The sequence below is a fragment of the Homo sapiens genome, chromosome 1 (assembly GCF_000001405.40).
Source record: "Homo sapiens chromosome 1, GRCh38.p14 Primary Assembly".
Taxonomy (NCBI): domain Eukaryota; kingdom Metazoa; phylum Chordata; class Mammalia; order Primates; family Hominidae; genus Homo; species Homo sapiens.
In genome coordinates, this window is record NC_000001.11 from 96,746,639 (window position 1) to 96,763,477 (window position 16,839).

At 37.8% G+C, this 16,839-nt stretch overlaps 1 protein-coding gene across 16 annotated transcripts in view, besides 1 other annotated feature; it reads left to right on the plus strand.

The window, feature by feature from the left end:
* The window catches only part of PTBP2 (polypyrimidine tract binding protein 2), a 101,956-nt gene that overhangs the window by 24,855 nt on the left and 60,262 nt on the right, over positions 1–16,839 (plus strand). For 13 of the 16 annotated variants that reach the window (NR_125357.2, NR_125356.1, XM_011541876.3 and 10 more), the window contains exon 3: positions 4,787–4,862. The exons of 1 other annotated variant lie outside the window; for it this stretch is intronic. Coding sequence is in view for 13 of the 15 variants with exons in the window: in XM_011541876.3 (XP_011540178.1) it covers positions 4,787–4,862 (76 nt within the window). In the remaining 2 variants the exon portion in view is untranslated. Of the gene's footprint in view, positions 1–2,881; positions 3,049–4,786; positions 4,863–16,839 lie in introns of those variants that run through there. 2 more of the 16 variants (NM_001300987.2, XM_017001951.2) reach the window with 2 other exon arrangements.
* Positions 15,091–15,798: an enhancer, noted in NCBI's record as "NANOG-H3K27ac hESC enhancer chr1:97227285-97227992 (GRCh37/hg19 assembly coordinates)". NCBI's record gives its function as "activates a minimal SCP1, AML or CMV promoter by ChIP-STARR-seq in primed H9 embryonic stem cells {active_cell/tissue: H9 hESC(primed)}" and the evidence as "EXISTENCE:reporter gene assay evidence [ECO:0000049][PMID:30033119]".

Below are 16,839 nucleotides of genomic sequence, written 5' to 3' on the forward strand. Positions count from 1 at the left end.
GGCTGCAGTGAGCTATGATCGTTCCATTGCACTCTAGCTTGGTGACAGAGCAAGACTTTGTCTGAAAAAAAAAAAAAAAAAAGTGTGTGTTTTACAGTTACTGATTGTCTTTTGGTTATTTGTGTTGCTGGTGTCTTTTCCCAGTTTGTAGCTTGCCTTGTCACTTCTTTATGCTGTCTTGTCTGTCTGTCTGTCTGTCTCCCTCCCTCCCTCCCCCTCCCTCCGTCCGTCTGTCCCTCCCTCCCTCCCTCCCTCCCTCCCTCCCTCCCTCCCTCCCTTCCTTCCTTCCTTCCTTCCTTCCTTCCTACTTTACTTTAGATTCAGGGTTACATGTGCAGGTTTGTTACATGGGTATATGGCATGAAGCTGAGGTTTGCAATACAAGTGATCCTGTCAGCCAGAGAGTGAGCTCAGTACCCAACAGTTAGATTTACAATCCTTTCTCCCTCCCCCCACCACTAGTTCCCAGTGCATATTGTTGCGGATTAATACAGATTCTTAATGTATAGTTTTAATGTGGCCACAAATTCCCTTTGCATCTTAGATAAAAATAATTTATATGATCCCATTCTTTACACATTCCAAATTTTCCTTTGCTCTTCTGGACATCTTCCATGTTGATTGCTGGAAGTCTTGAAGGCAATCCCAAATAACAGTTTTTAGCTTTTCAACTGTTGCTGTGATACGGTTTCTTATAGAGATTTTTGTAGTAGAATTTATCAGTATTTTCTTTCATGTTCAGTTTTCTTGTGTCTTAATTTAAAAATCCTTACATACTCAGAGTTCATAAAGATACTATATTTTCTTCTGAAATTTTAAAAAATTTTGCTTTTTATATTTATCAGAAAATTATTTTTGTGTATTGTATTTAGTAGGGATCTGGTTTCATTTTTTTGCCCTTATTAAGATAGTCAATTAAATTGAAATCTCTGTAATGACTTTTTCATATTACAGGTATATATATCGTAAGGCAAAGGCTGAAAAAACTATCATAACAAAATGCAGAATATGGTGGCATAAATAAAAGAGTTTTTTTGTTTCTTTTTCTGTCATAGCAGAAGTCCTGTTGGTATAAGAAAGTGGTATCAGTCTGCTCCATAAGGTTATTCACTGGGCCAAGTTTCTTTCATATTGTTGCTTCACTGATCCCTAGGCTTTTGTTCTTGGCTATGTGGTCTGTTGATGTGTGATTGTGCTCTTCTCCTTGTTTAAAAAAAAAGTTTTCCCTGTATTTGTGTATTTCATTGTCTTTTTTTTTTAAAGTCAGCTTTTGATTTTACTGATCCTCTTCATTGTACCATTGTTTTCTCTATTTTTATTGGTTGCGTGAGTCAGGGCTTTTGCAAGTCTTTAATAGGTAGGTGGTATTCAGTCCACTTCTTCATCATCTTGGTGGCACCTCTGTTTAAGGAGACCAGGAATACTCACCTGGGTACGTACCTTTCTTCCTCTCTGATAATCTATTTTTCCTCAGGAACTTAATATTTGTGTCCTTGCCCGGTGTCTTTCTGTCATGGTTCCCTAGGCTGCCATCTCCACAGGAGAAAATGTTTGGTTAGTTCTCAGTCCCAAACCATAGCAGAGCCCAGAGACTCTTGTCACCCTCAGCCTTCAGTCCTTGGTTGCCTTCTTCGCAGACCTGGCAGCTCTTCCACCTGAAAGTGATACATGGTATTAATAGTTGGACTAGACTATTATGATAAACAGAGTATCTAATAACCATGAGAATAAAAAACAAGAAATTTGTAACATTGAAATGAGTGCTAAATGGCCTTTAATCTGTACTTGCTTTTGCACATTTTTTTTTAAGTGGTTTCTTTCTCTGACGTGTAGAGTGTATCTTCCTATTTCTGAATTTTCTTGTTTCTGTGGGATGTTAGTTTCTCTTGAAATGGTCATTGATATTACTCAGGAAGAAAAGTTTCTGTGGTCAGATTTAATAAGAGATATCTATGCTAGTCTTAACATTTAATTTCTTTTAGTTGAATCTAAAATTGATATCATTCTTAGATTAATTAAAAATTTTTTAAAGAGCATGTATTCTTTAGTATTTTGATTCTAAGTACCACTAATTTGATTTGTTTCAACAGTCATTAATGTGGGGCAGTCATCAATCACTACCATTGATCATTTATTTCATATACATTGTAAGTTAAATGACCAGGCTGAAATAATTCAGATGAAATTATTCTGTCAGTTAATGTGGTAATGTTAACATTTATCAGTAGTGCTGAATCACTTCTTTTGGGCATAATAGTGGTAAGCTTTTTGCTCAATGCAAAGACAGGCATAATTGCTTTTTTCAAATAAAAATGTAATTTGTAAAAATACTCCAGTAATTTTTGTAAAATCTCAAAATTGCAAATAATTTGACGTTATTCTCAGTAATGAAGGCTGTTAAATCTCCTCTCTTAACGGCAGGTATGAAATCATTTGAGGAAGAAAAAAGTTCATAAATACAAACTTAAAAAAAAATGGAAAGACTTTTCCATGCAAAAAGATGCATTGCAGGAAGGAGGAAGAGTGTCCTTCATAGCACACCACAAGTCAGTATTAGAGGCTTGCTTTTCTACTTGAGTAGACCCAAGATTCCCCACCTATCGTCTTCCAAAGTTACTTGTGATCCACTGCAATCACAAGTTTTACAGTGTGTATACTCTAGGTGTATGGAAGGATTTGAATTCACAAATAGTCAAACATCAGAAGAATAAGCTGATAATAATACATTTGAAAAGAGGTCAAGTATATTTTTGAAAACTAGGAGAGTTAAAGTGTTTTTGTGAACTAAGGAACAAATAAGGCATTGACAATATTTTACTTGATTAGGAATTTTGTTCAGGTGAGTAAAACTTTAAGCATCACTTAAGTTTTGTTTTTGTTTCTTACTTTTAGAATATCTGATCTGGACTTCTGTGGATTTATGGAAGAGCTGGCTTTATTTCTCTATCCTGTGGGAGGGGCAAACTTTGATTTTGTATGTGGAGTAACTTGACCTTCAGTTTTTTTGGTCTGAGAACAAAGGCCAAAAAATATGTAACAGTTAATAACGTAATTCACTTACTTAGTCAATAAATATGTGGGGACATTGTACTTGGTTGACACTTGGGAATATTGTAGTGAGCACTACTGATGTGAGCCAGGCACTTTGCCTGGTAATCACTGTTCGTGTATAATTTAATCCTAAGGGCTGTGATGTAGATGTTATCCCTGTTTTACAAATAAAGAACTTCAGGCTTAGAATGATTAAGTACTGTTACCTAACTGATAAGTGGAAGCTGAGCTCCAGAGCACCCTTTCTTAATACAGTATTTTCTACTTGTCATGAAAACATGAAGAAAGCTAGGAAACATTTTCTGTGTTGATAATGAGCCAATAATGTGTATCAGTGGTTCTTAAACTTTAGCATGCATCAGAAACACTTGGGGATTTTTTTTTTTAAACCTGGGGTTTTTAGATCCCACCCTCAGAGTTTCTTATTCAGTAGGTCTGGGATTGGACCTGAGAACATATACTGTCAGTAAGCTTCCAGGTCTAATCTTAGGATTAGGGACCACACTTTGAGAATGATTAGAGTATTCAATTAGATCTTAGGGACTACACTGTGAGAATCAGTAATGTATACAATTCTGCTCATCATGTTCTTATAAAACTATGCCATGCCAGATCTTCCATATCTTGATTAGAAATTGGTTAAGAAATTAGGCTTGGTGTAAATACAGTATCAATGTGGCTTGAAACTGGTTGTATTTTTCTGTTTTTTTTTTTCTTTGTGCATTTGATGCTAATAAGTAGAAAGCTCTTAAAATATTTAAGGGAGACAACCTATGGATATCTGTTTACTCTTCTCATATTTGTTGTAATACAGTTTATTCATTATGAGTTTAAATACAAATTAGCGTAAAGCTTATGGTTAATTTGGATTTTTTGGACTTTCTGAAATGCTTTGATAATTCATTGCCTCCTTTGCACATTTTTTTCATTTTGATGGTTGCATTTAACTTCTTTGTACTGATTTTTTAAATCAGCCAGTATTAATTTAACCTATTTTCAATACTAATATCCATGTATGTAAATATCCATAACTAAGGCAAAACAGTTGATTTTAGCTAGTTTAAATATTAGTCCATTCATATTTTTGTAAGTACATAACATTTTCAAAATAGCTAAAATGTCACTGGCTGGTTTGAACAACTGTGCAGTTACCGAAGAGATGAATGTATAACCTTTTCTGTAAAGAATTTTAAGACATGACCTTATTTTTTTGCAGAAAGAAATCTCTTCATTCCAAAGATTTTGCCTTTGCTTTCGGTGTTCTAGCCACTGAAGTATATACCTGTTTAATTTTAATAATGATGAAGATATTGATATCTAACTCACCAGAATGAAGTTCTAATTTTCTAAAGACCTGAATTATCTGGATGAATAAAGGACCATTGGGATGGAGGATTTATAGAACGTTTCTGAGAAAGTCTAGCTGTTGTGGCTTTGGTTTGTTTGTAAACAATTGAGATAGCTTTCCAAAGCTTTTGCTTATAGAATCTAATCACTTTTTCTATTTATTGTCTTTTGGGCTTAGAGTAAAGAAGGGAAGGGAACACTGTTGCCTTTGTGAGAATGGGAGAGGGATAGATGGGAGAGTAGAGGGATGAAGTTAATTTTTTATTATAGGGATTAACATTTTTAACTATTCCCAATAGTGTAACATTTGACATTTAAGTGAAAGGCTTTTAGATTAATATTTTTAAATTTAAAGATGTCTTATGCTAATTTGTTTTTGTTTTCATAGAGAGGATCTGACGAACTACTCTCAGGCAGTGTTCTCAGTAGTCCGAACTCTAATATGAGCAGCATGGTAGTTACAGGTAAGTGTTACTCTCTTAGCAGTCTGTCATTTGCCATTTTAGGGGGCAGAATGTTAAAACTCAAATTTAACCCTGTTATACCAGGAAAGCCTTTCTTTTTAAATGCGTGTTGAAACATTTTAGAGTAAATTTTACTAAAGTATATATGAGCCGAGTGGAAAAAAAAAAAAAACCTGAAGCTGGTAACTTTGGTGAACAAGTTACTCTTAAATTTGATTGCTTTTCATTTTTGAACCACAAATGTAATTCTGTCTCACATTATAGTCCCTTCATCTGCCCCTCTGGTATTTTTATTTTGTTTTTATTTTTTGTGTTTGTGTGTCATATAATATTTTTACTTTAAGTATTTATGCCACAAACCCTAAAACCCAAATTTTAAGTAAAAACCGAAGAATTCAGCTACATAGTTGTTTAAAACCATTGCAACCATAGTTGCTATGGTTTTAACTAATTTTTTGCTGAAACAGTATTTTAATTCTGAGTTGATCCTTTTATGTTGTCTACCTGCATATTTAAGATGATTTGTTTTAATCTTCAAAGTTAGAGTTAAAAAAAATTGTATATGTCTGAAATAATGTTGTTTGTAGCATCTGTCAGTAAAACAATATAGACCAAATTTTAGACCTTAGTTTTATGGCTGATGGGCCAAATTTTTTTTTGTATTTTGTTTAGTTTTGCTTGAATTGACGTGTTCTCATCTGAATGGGCCAAATTTTGAATTTGATTATTATTATTATCAAATGAATTTACCTCACAACTCCACATTTTACATTATTTACCTGAAACCAAAGTTCCTTTTTCTGTATTTTAACTTTGAATTATTTGCTTGAAGAACAAATTATATTTGGCAATAAAAGGATCATGAAAGACTAGAAGACATTTTGATTTCCCTTAGGTAGCTGTGCTTAATGTATACATACATCTTGACACACACAAACACAAACACACATCTCTGACAATTCAGTTAACTAAAAATTATAAGGACTTAACAGATAATAGTCATGATGTGAAGATAAATTTGTCAACAGGTCATTATCATTGATTTTGCTATGTAATGATTACAAAGCAAAATCACTGGGCCTTGATTTTGATAGTCAAAGTACCATGTACACATAATTGAACAAATAGGCAGAAGTGTGTAACTCTGGTTTGTCGGTTTCTCTTTTTGTTTTTACAATGCATACTGTGATCGATAATGGGAAATTAATTTGGAATTAATTTCCAAATATTTAGGGCTAGTGACAGAGTAACTAGTAGCAGCCTTGGCCCCTTTTTCAGTCTCCCCCCAAAACCAAAAAGTATGTAACTGAATAAAATACGTGGAACAACTGTTGTTTGGAAGTGATGAGCAGACGGTATAAGATCATCCTTGAGAGAAGGGGTACACGTGAGGTAAGTATCATGAACACTCTGGCTTTCTGTCTTGGACTATTTTACTGCTCTAAACCACAGAGAAGTGGAGAGCCCAGAGTATACAGGTCTCACTGAGCTGAAGAGACCAAGAGTGGGTGTCAGGGCTGCCCAATCATTTGGAATTTATGGAGAAGTCCTGGAGAAAAGAGAGCTGTCTAGGGGTTTAGGAATAGAGCAGGGGGCAGAATTTAGTATGGTCATTTCACTTCATTCACAGTTTTGGATAATGACTTGGTTACATGTGTGCAGGTTGAGGCTTTGCCAGGTCTGTCAGAAATTGTCTGCTCTGGGGCTAAATGGTGATTCCATAGGTTGCACGGTACTCTGAAACATTGGAGTTCTGAGAAGTCAGAATGCAGACATATTGCAGGGTACTTCAAACACTCCATTTAGACTACAGAAAGCCTGGACCTGAATAGAAAGGATCACACCCTATAGGAAGTGCCATCTATAAGACTGAGATAAAAACCAGAAACCTAGCCCGATAGGAAGTGAAGGATTCACCAGTTAATCTAACCAGTAACTGATGAAGGATTAATCAGTAATTTAGTTGCCTTCCAAAACAAAACAACACCCCCAAGAAAGACATGATATAGTTTTCCTGCAACTATCTTCCATAATATCTAGTATACCATCAAAAATTACAAGTGATGTGCAGAAGCAGGAAAGTAACCCATGAAATATAAAGAACACATTTAATAGGAACAGATTCCAAAATGACCTAGAGTTAGAATTAGCAGACAAGGACGATAAGTATTTTAAGCTGTAAAGGAAAAGATTGAAATAATGAGTGATGGAGGAGTGTGTTGAAGAGATAAAAAACTATAAAGAAAGCATGTAGAAATATTCTAATTGAAAAATACAGTTTTTGAAATAGTTGGGACTGATTCACTGGTTGGAACTAGTAGCAGATTGGAGACAATAGAAGAAATGTTAGTGAACTTGAATACTGTTGAATACAGTGATTAAATCTGTCAGAGAGGAGAAAGTATATCTAATGGACAATGAAGCAGTCTGACATGTAAGTTGAATTTCAGAGTGAGAATGTGGGGGAATAAAACATCTATCTGTTTGAGATAGTAATGACTGAGAACTTCTAAAATTTGAATAAAATATATCAACTTACATTCCTAAGAAGCTCAGGTAAACTCCTCATGTAGGCTAAATAAAAAGAACCATACTTAGACACATAGTAGTCAAAATATTGAAAACTAGAAATGAAGAGCAAATCTAAACAGCTGCGAAAAAAACGTCTAACAGGAGACCAACACCTCGTATTAAAGGGGGAAAAAAAGCGAATTTCTTTAGACTGAATGGCATAACTTGGCTCTACAGGGGATAAGAGGAGTACTGGGAATGGTTAATATGTGTATAAATTTTAAAAGGGCTCTCTCTTTTCCTATCAGTTTCTTTGAAAGCCTTTATGTAAACAACAACTTTGTATTATGGGGTTTATTATGTAAATGGATGTTTATATGACAACAGTTAGTACAAAGTGAAGATAAATGGAATTCTTCAGTGGTAAGGTTCTTATATTTTACCTGAAGTGATACAGTGTTAACTCTAACATAAAAAGATTCTGTTAAGGTTGCATATCAAAATTCTAAGTGTAATCTCATTTAAAAAGATAAAAAGAAGTATAACGAAAAGCCAATAGAGGAAAAATTGGAGCATTGACTACCAGTTTTCAAGAATTACTGCAAAGCTACGGTAATTAAAAATAGCATCATAATAACATAAAGATAAATAGGTCAGTGAGACAGAGCAGAGAGTTCAGAAGTTAACTCACACAATTATGGATAACTGATTTTTGACAAAGGTGCAAAGTCAATTCAGTGGAGAAAAAGTAGACTTCCAACAAAGGGTGCTACAGCAGTTGGAGCTATCCGTATGCAAAAAAATGATCTTGGATCTGTATCTCACACTGCATATGAAAATTAACTCCAAATGGATCATGGCCTAATGTAAAACCAAAAATTATAAAATCTCTAGAAAAAAATACAGAAAATCTTCGTGACTTTGGATTAAGCAGGAATGTATTTGATATGACCCTAAAAGCACAATCTATTAAAAAATGGAATTTGACATCAGAATTAAAATCTTCTGCCATTCAAAAGAAACTGCTAGGGAATGAAAAGACAAGCCATAAACTGGAAGAACATCATAACAAAGCATATAGCTGATAAAGGACTTCTATCCAGAATATTAAAAGATTCAGTATATGTAAAATCAGCAGTCAAGCAACAAACTACTCAATGAATTGGCCAAAATATTTGAACAGGTAGTACAGCACAAAAGATACACAGATGGTAAGTAAGCACGTGAAAAAGCTGGTCAGCATCATTAGTTATTAGGGAAATGAAAATTAAAACTACAGTGAGATAATATTACAAACCTATTAATAGTGACTAAAATTAAAAAGAGTGCCATCTTGGAAAGCATGAGTTGGGAAGAATGTGGAAGAATGTTAATATTCACAATACTGCTGATGGGAATGTAAAATCGTAGTACTTTGGAAAACAATCTGGTAGTTTCTCCATGATCCAGGTTATTTGTCTCCTAAGCATTTACCCAAGAGAAAAGAAGGCATCTATTCATTAAAAAACTCTCATGTTAATGTTCATAGCCATTTTATTTGTAATCACCAAAATGTGAAACAAACATTCATCAACAGATGAACTAATAAGTAGATTCCTGTTTTGGCATCATATGCTTTTCCATACAGTGGAATACAACAGCCATGTAGAATGAGCTATTGATAGACACAACAGCAAGAATGAATCTCCAAACAATTATGTTATGTAAAAGATGGGAGAAAAAAAGACTACATCCTGTATGATTCCATTTATATAAAACTCTGGGAAATGCAAACTAATCTAAAGCAAATTCATGGTTCTTAGGAGTTTAAGAGTGGGAAAGGACAGGCAGGAGGGGTGGCAAAGGGACACAGGAAAACTCGGGAGTGATGGACATATAAATTATTGTGATGGTGGTTTTATGGATGTATGCATATGTCAAAACTTGTCAAATTTTATAATTTAAATACATATACACATCCTAGAATGGCCGAACTTCAGAACATTGATAACACCAAATGCTGGCAAGGATGTGGAGCAACAGGAACTCTCACTTACTGCTCAGTGGAATGCAGAGTGGTACAGCCACTTTGGAAGACAATTTGGCAATTTCTTAGAAAACTATACGGCCGGGCACAGTGGCTTACGCCTGTAATCCCAGCGCTTTGGGAAGCCAAGGCAGGCGGATCACCTGAGGTCAGAAGTTCAAAACCAGCCTGGCCAACATGGAGAAACCCGATCTCTACTAAAAAATACAAAATTAGCTAGGCGTGGTGGTGCATGCCTGTAATCCCAGCCACTCAGGAGGCTGAAGCAGGAGAATTACTTGAACCCAGGAGGTGGAGGTTGCAGTGAGCCAGGATCACGCCCATTTCACTCCAACCTGGGCAACAAGAGCGAGACTCCATCTCAAATATACTTTCATTGTATGATCCAGCAGTTGTGCTCCCTGGTATTTGCCTAAAGGAGTTGAAAACTTAGTCTGCGCAGAAAGTAGCACATGGATGTTTATAGCACCTTTCTTTATAGTTGCCAGAACTTCATAGCAACCAAGAAGTCCTTTAGGAGGTGAATGGCCAAATAAACTGTGGTGTATATTCAGACAGTATAATGTTAATCAGCACTAAATGGAAATGAGCTATCAAGCCATGGAGAACCTTCAGTGAACATTACTAAATAAAAGAAGCCACTCTGAAAATTCTGCATACCATATGATTCCAACTATATGACATTCTGGAAAAAGCAAAATTATGGAGACAGTAAAAATCAGTGGTTGCTAGGGTTTAGGGGTGGAGGGAGGGATGAACTGGTGGAGTACAGAGGATTTTAGGGTACTGAAAATATTCTGCATGATACTATAATGATAGATACATGTCATACATTTTTCCAAACCCATAGAATGTAAGACACTTGGAGTGAACCTGGAGGTAACTACAGACTTTGAGTGATTATAATGTGTCAGTGTAGGTTCATCAGTTGTAACAATGTGCCATCTGGTGGGAGATGTTGATAAAGGGGAGGCTATTTGGGGCAGGAGGCAGGGAAATCTCTCTGCTTTCCTCTCCATTTTGCTGTGTACCTAAACTTACTCTGAAAAATGTCTTTGAAAATTTACTCATGCGCTTGCATTGCATTTCTTTTGGATATTACTGGTCTAAGTAGTCCAGTTAAAAGACAAAGATTGTCAGACTTGATTAAAAAGCAAGGCCTAACTACACTGTCAATACGAGGGTCAGGTAGAAATATCAAGATGCAGGTTGAAAGTAAAAAGATGGAAAATGATATTCCGTGCAAACAGTAAGCACAAGAAAGTTGATATGATTATATTACTAGACAGAAAAATTTAAGACAAATATTACCAGATATAAAAAAGCATATTTCACAATGTTGAAGGGTCAGTTTATCAGAAAACATTTCTTAATTTGTATGCCAATAATAACAAATCAAAGTATATTAAGAAAAACATCACAGAACTAAGTAGAGAAACAAAAATCCACAATCATAGCCTGGTTTTTTAAAACATAATTTATGGCAATTGATAGGATAGTACAGTCCTAGCCCCCAAATAAAAAGATACATAATTTGAAAAGTGCTATCATGTTGGCTTAACTCACATTTATAAAACTATACCCAGTAACTGTAAAATAACTTCAAGTGTACATAGAACATTCACAATGATAGACCTTATATTGGATTATAAAATAACTCAATAAATTTCAAATGATTGACAGCTAATGTATCTGACTGACTATAGTGGAATTAAATTAGAAATCAAAAATAGACATCTAGGAAAGTACTAAATATTAGAAATTACACAATCGTGAACAATACATGGATTATAGAAGTGTTACCACAAGGACATATTTTTGACTGAATGAAAATATATCAAAATTTGTTGGATACTACCCAAGGGTGTGTATGGTGAAAAGTATGTCTTCAAATACCTATATTACAAAAAAAGGTTTAAAACTCCCAATTTAAGACTGACCAAGGAAAAAGACATAAATTACCAATACTGGAAATCAAGGTCGAGATAATCACTTTCAGAGAAAGTGGATATATGCAGAGTATAATAGTATAACATAAATAATATAAAGTGGAGATAGCACTTTCAATAAAAGCAGAGATATATAGAATATAATAGGAAAATAAGTCAATATTAGTAATGTTGTTAAGGCTAACAAATTCAGCAACTTAGATGAAAAGTTTCTTGACAAATGCAAAACTGACTTAAGTATATAGCTTAACAGCTATATACTACTGTATTATACAAATTGGAATTTATAATTAAAAAAATCTTTCCACAAAGATTACTCTAGTCATAGATGGTTTCACTATTGAATTTTATGAAATTTTAAAGGAATACTAGCTGTCTTTGAAAATGGAGGAGGGAATACTACCCTGTTCACTTTATGAAACCACTATAACTGACAGCAAAACCTGACAAGGGTAATATATCAAGATTTCAGACTAGTATTTCTCATTAACCTAAATGCATATATTCTTAAGAAAATGTTGGTAAATCACCTCCGGTAGAATATGAGAGACAATTCTGAGACTTATCGCAGGATTGTAAGGTTTGTTTAACATTTGAAAATGAACTCAGTGTAATTTGTCACAATGATAGAATGAAGAAAGAAGAATTTCTCTCAGAAAACTAGGAAGAGAAGGAGCTTTTACAATGTAAATAAGGGGTATCTACTAAGAACCTACAACAAATTTCATACTTAATGGAGAAATATTGAATGTTTTCTTCTTAAAAACAGAAATGAAGCAAGGATGTCTGTTTTCTCAATTTTTCCCCTTAGCTTTCTGCTTACATTAAGGCAGGTGAAATAAAAGACATAAAGATTGTAAAGGAAGAAAGAAAACTGTCTTATTCACCATTCAACATGCTTTTTAAAGTAGAAGACCTGAAGGACTCTACAACAGATTTGGTAGAACTAATAAGTGAATTTAGAATAATTATAGGATACAAGTTCTATGTACAGAAATAGTCTCCTTATACTTGGCAGCAAATTCTTAGAAAATGAAATTTTAAAAAATCTGTTTATAAAAGTATCAGACAAAATATCAGGAAAAAAATTTGACAAAAGATATGTAAGACATCTACACCAATATGAAACACTGCTAAGAGAAGTTTTAAAAAGACTTACATGAAGACGTAGACCATGTTCATGAATTAGAAGGCTCAATATGTTAACATGCCAGTTCTCCCTAAATTGGGATGGCATTGAATCTATAAAGACTTATAAATTGAGAGTACATTCTAAAATTTATGTGGAAATAAAAAGGAGCTAGGACAATTAAAACCATTTTGAAAAAGTAAATTTTGCCACAGTTCTCAAGACTCACTACAAACCTGTAGTTAATCCAAAACAGTTTACTACTAGCATAGTTAGTGACACAGAATAGCGTTCAGGGAATAACTCATGCATTAAAGTTGCCTTGATCACTCAGTGAAGAAAGAGAAGGCCTTTCAACAGATGTGCTAGAACAGCTGAATATACATACAAAAAAGCAAAAGAAACTTAAACCCTACATCATTCTGTATAAAACAATGAGATTAATTATATAAAAACTAATATATAGAGTTTTTAGGAAAAAGCATAGGATATACTTGCAACTTTGGGATAAATGAAGATTTCTTAAAATAGAAAAATCTTAAAGGAATATATAAACTTGACTCCATCAAAATGGGAAATTTCTGCTTCATCAAAAGACATTGTTAAGACATTGAAAAGACAAGGCACAGACTTGGAGAATATAATATTTGTGTATCAATACATGCATATGACTGTATTAGTCCATTTTCATGCTGCTGATAAAGACGTACCCGAGACTGGGCGGGCAATTTATGAAAGAAACCAGTTTAATGAATTTACAATTCTATGTGACTGGGGAAGCCTCATAATCATGGTGGAAGGCAAGGAGGAGCAAGTCACATCTTACGTAGATGGCAACAGGCAAAGAAAAGAGAGCTTGTGCGGGGAAACTCTCCCCTTTTTAAAACCATGAGACTTACTTCACTGTCACGAGAACAGCATTGGAAAGACCTGCCCCCATGATTCAGTTAACTCCCACCAGGTCCCTCCCACAACACATGGGAATTCAAGAGGAGATGTGGGTGGGGACACAGCCAAACCATATCAATGACAAAGGACTTGTATCCCAAAGGACTTGTAAAAAAAAAACTCCTCCAATCAATAAATATGAGCAGCCCAATTTTTTTTTAAGTGGCAAAAGAAGTGACATTATAAGGATGGGTAACAAGCACATGAAAAGATAATGTTAGTCATCAGGTGATCACAAGTCAAAACCATTAGAGATAGAATTTACACCAACTAGAATGGCTAAAATTAAATAGATTGGCAATACCGAATGTTGATGAAGATGTGGAACTGTCTTTAATTACTGCTGAGTATATAACATAGTTGGGAAAATAGTTTGCTTTTTTTTTTTTTTTTTTTTTTTTGAGACAGAGTCTTGCTCTGTCACCAGGCTGGAATGCAGTGGCATGATCTCAGCTTACTGCAACCTCCGCCTCCTGGGTTCAAGCGATTCTCCTGCCTCAGCCTCCTGAGTAGCTGGAACTACAGGTGCACGCCACCACACCCGGCTAATTTTTTGTATTTTTAGTAGAGACTGGGTTTCGCCATGTTGGCCAGGATGGTCTTGCTCTCTTGACGTTGTGATCTGCCCACGTCGGCCTCCCAGAGTGCTGGGATTACAGGCCTGAGCCACTGCGTCTGACCTAGTTTACTATTTTCTTACGGAGTTAAACATTAACCTATTTTATGGTCCATAACTTCTACTTTTAGTTTTTTACCCAGTAAGAACATGTTTGCTGTAAAACTTGTATGTGTATCAAAAACTTTACTGATAATGGTCCCAAACTTGAAATAACCCAAATGTTTATCAACAGGAAAATGGATAAATTGTGGTATAATCATATAGTATATTACTACTTACTAATAACAAAAGAATGGTTAGTAGTACATGCGAAAACATGGGTGAATAGTAAGCATTGTATGAAGCAAAAGAAACCAGACAGACCTGAAAGAGTACATAGTGTGATTCCATTTCTTGAAAGTTTAAGAGCAGATCATTAATTTTTTGTTTAGAAACCAGAATGTTGGAGATTAACAGAAAGGGAATATGGTGGCATTTTCTGGTGTGATGGAAACGTCCTATGTTAATAAACTAAGTTGCAAAACAAATCCAAAAGTTGTTTGAAGCAGTAGATTATCTCTGAGAACTCTGAATTTCCAGTAGTTGTGTCTTGCTGTAATGAGAAATATGAGATTGGGAATGACTAGGTGAGTCCATGTAGCAGGGGCCTAGATGTGGGATTTGATGTGTGTGTGTGTGTGTGTGTGTGTGTGTGTGTGTGTGTGTGTAGCTTGGACTTTAACAGATTTACATTTTAGAAAGAATTTTTGTTCCATTTGTATTTCACAGGTAGGATCAGTATTGTATAGAGGGGAGAATAGTTTTAAAACATTACGGTAGTTCATTCCAAAGATACCAAGGTCCTGAATTTTAGGGTCTTGGAAGGAGAATGCAGGAAATGATAAAACGAGTTATCTGGAAGAAGACAAGTTTGGAATAATATTAAAGAGTTTTGTCTTAGAATCACTGGGTTGGTAGAAGATGATGCCATTAACAAAGGGGGAAAAGTAGGAAAAGGAGACTCGTTTTTGGTGGGAAAAAAGAATAATCCGCTACTGTTCTGTTTTTTTTTGTTTGTTTTTTGTTTTTTATTTTTTATTGATCATTCTTGGGTGTTTCTCGCAGAGGGGGATTTGGCAGGGTCATAGGACAATAGTGGAGGGAAGGTCAGCAGATAAACAAGTGAACAAAGGTCTCTGGTTTTCCTAGGCAGAGGACCCTGCGGACTTCCGCAGTGTTTGTGTCCCTGGGTCCTTGAGATTAGGGAGTGGTGATGACTCTTAACGAGCATGCTGCCTTCAAGCATCTGTTTAACAAAGCACATCTTGCACCGCCCTTAATCCATTTAACCCTGAGTGGACACAGCACATGTTTCAGAGAGCACAGGGTTGGGGGTAAGGTCACAGATCAACAGGATAAGAATTTTTCTTAGTACAGAACAAAATGAAAAGTCTCCCATGTCTACCTCTTTCTACACAGACACGGCAACCATCCGATTTCTCAATCTTTTCCCCACCTTTCCCCCCTTTCTATTCCACAAAACCGCCATTGTCATCATGGCCCGTTCTCAATGAGCTGTTGGGTACACCTCCCAGACGGGGTGGTGGCCGGGCAGAGGGGCTCCTCACTTCCCAGTAGGGGCGGCCGGGCAGAGGCGCCCCTCACTCCCCAGTAGGGGCAGCCGGGCAGAGGCGCCCCTCACCTCCCGGATGGGGCGGCTGGCCGGGCGGGGGGCTGACCCCCCCACCTCCCTCCCGGATGGGGCAGCTGGCCGGGCGGGGGGCTGACCCCCCCACCTCCCTCCCGGACGGGGCGGCTGGCCGGGCTGGGGGCTGACCCCCGCCACCTCCCTCCCGGACGGGGCGGCTGGCCGGGCTGGGGGCTGACCCCCCGACCTCCTTCCCGGACGGGGCGGCTGGCCGGGCAGAGGGGCTCCTCACTTCCCAGTAGGGGCGGCCGGGCAGAGGCGCCCCTCACCTCCCGGAAGGGGCGGCTGGCCGGGCGGGGGTCTGACCCCCCCACCTCCCTCCTGGATGGGGCGGCTGGCCTGGCGGGGGCTGACCCCCACCTCCCTCCCAGACGGGGTGACTGCCGGGCGGAGACGCTCCTCACTTCCCAGACGGCGTGGCTGCCGGGCGGAGGGGCTCCTCACTTCTCAGATGGGGCGGCTGCTGGGCGGAGGGACTCCTCGCTTCTCAGATGGGGCGGCCGGGCCGAGACGCTCCTCACCTCCCAGACGGGGTCGCGGCCGGGTAGAGGCGCTCCTCACATCCCAGACGGGGCGGCGGGGCAGCGGCGCTCCCCACATCTCAGACGATGGGCGGCCGGGCAGAGACGCTCCTCACTTCCTAGATGGGATGGCGGCCGGGAAGAGGCGCTCCTCACTTCCTAGATGGGATGGCGGCCGGGCAGAGACCTCCTTTCTTTCCAGACTGGGCAGCCAGGCAGAGGGGCTCCTCACGTTCCAGACGATGGGCGGCCAGGCAGAGACGCTCCTCACTTCCCAAACGGGGTGGCGGCTGGGCAGAGGCTGCAATCTCGGCACTTTGGGAGGCCAAGGCAGGCGGCTGGGAGGTGGAGGTTGTAACGAGCCGAGATCACGCCACTGCACTCCAGCCTGGGCACCATTGAGCACTGAGTGAACCAGACTCCGTCTGCAATTCCGGCACCTCGGGAGGCCGAGGCTGGCGGATCACTCGCGGTTAGGAGCTGCAGACCAGCCCGGCCAACACAGCGAAACCCCGTCTCCACCAAAAAAATACGAAAACCAGTCAGGCGTGGCGGCGCGTGCCTGCAATAGCAGGCACTCGGCAGGC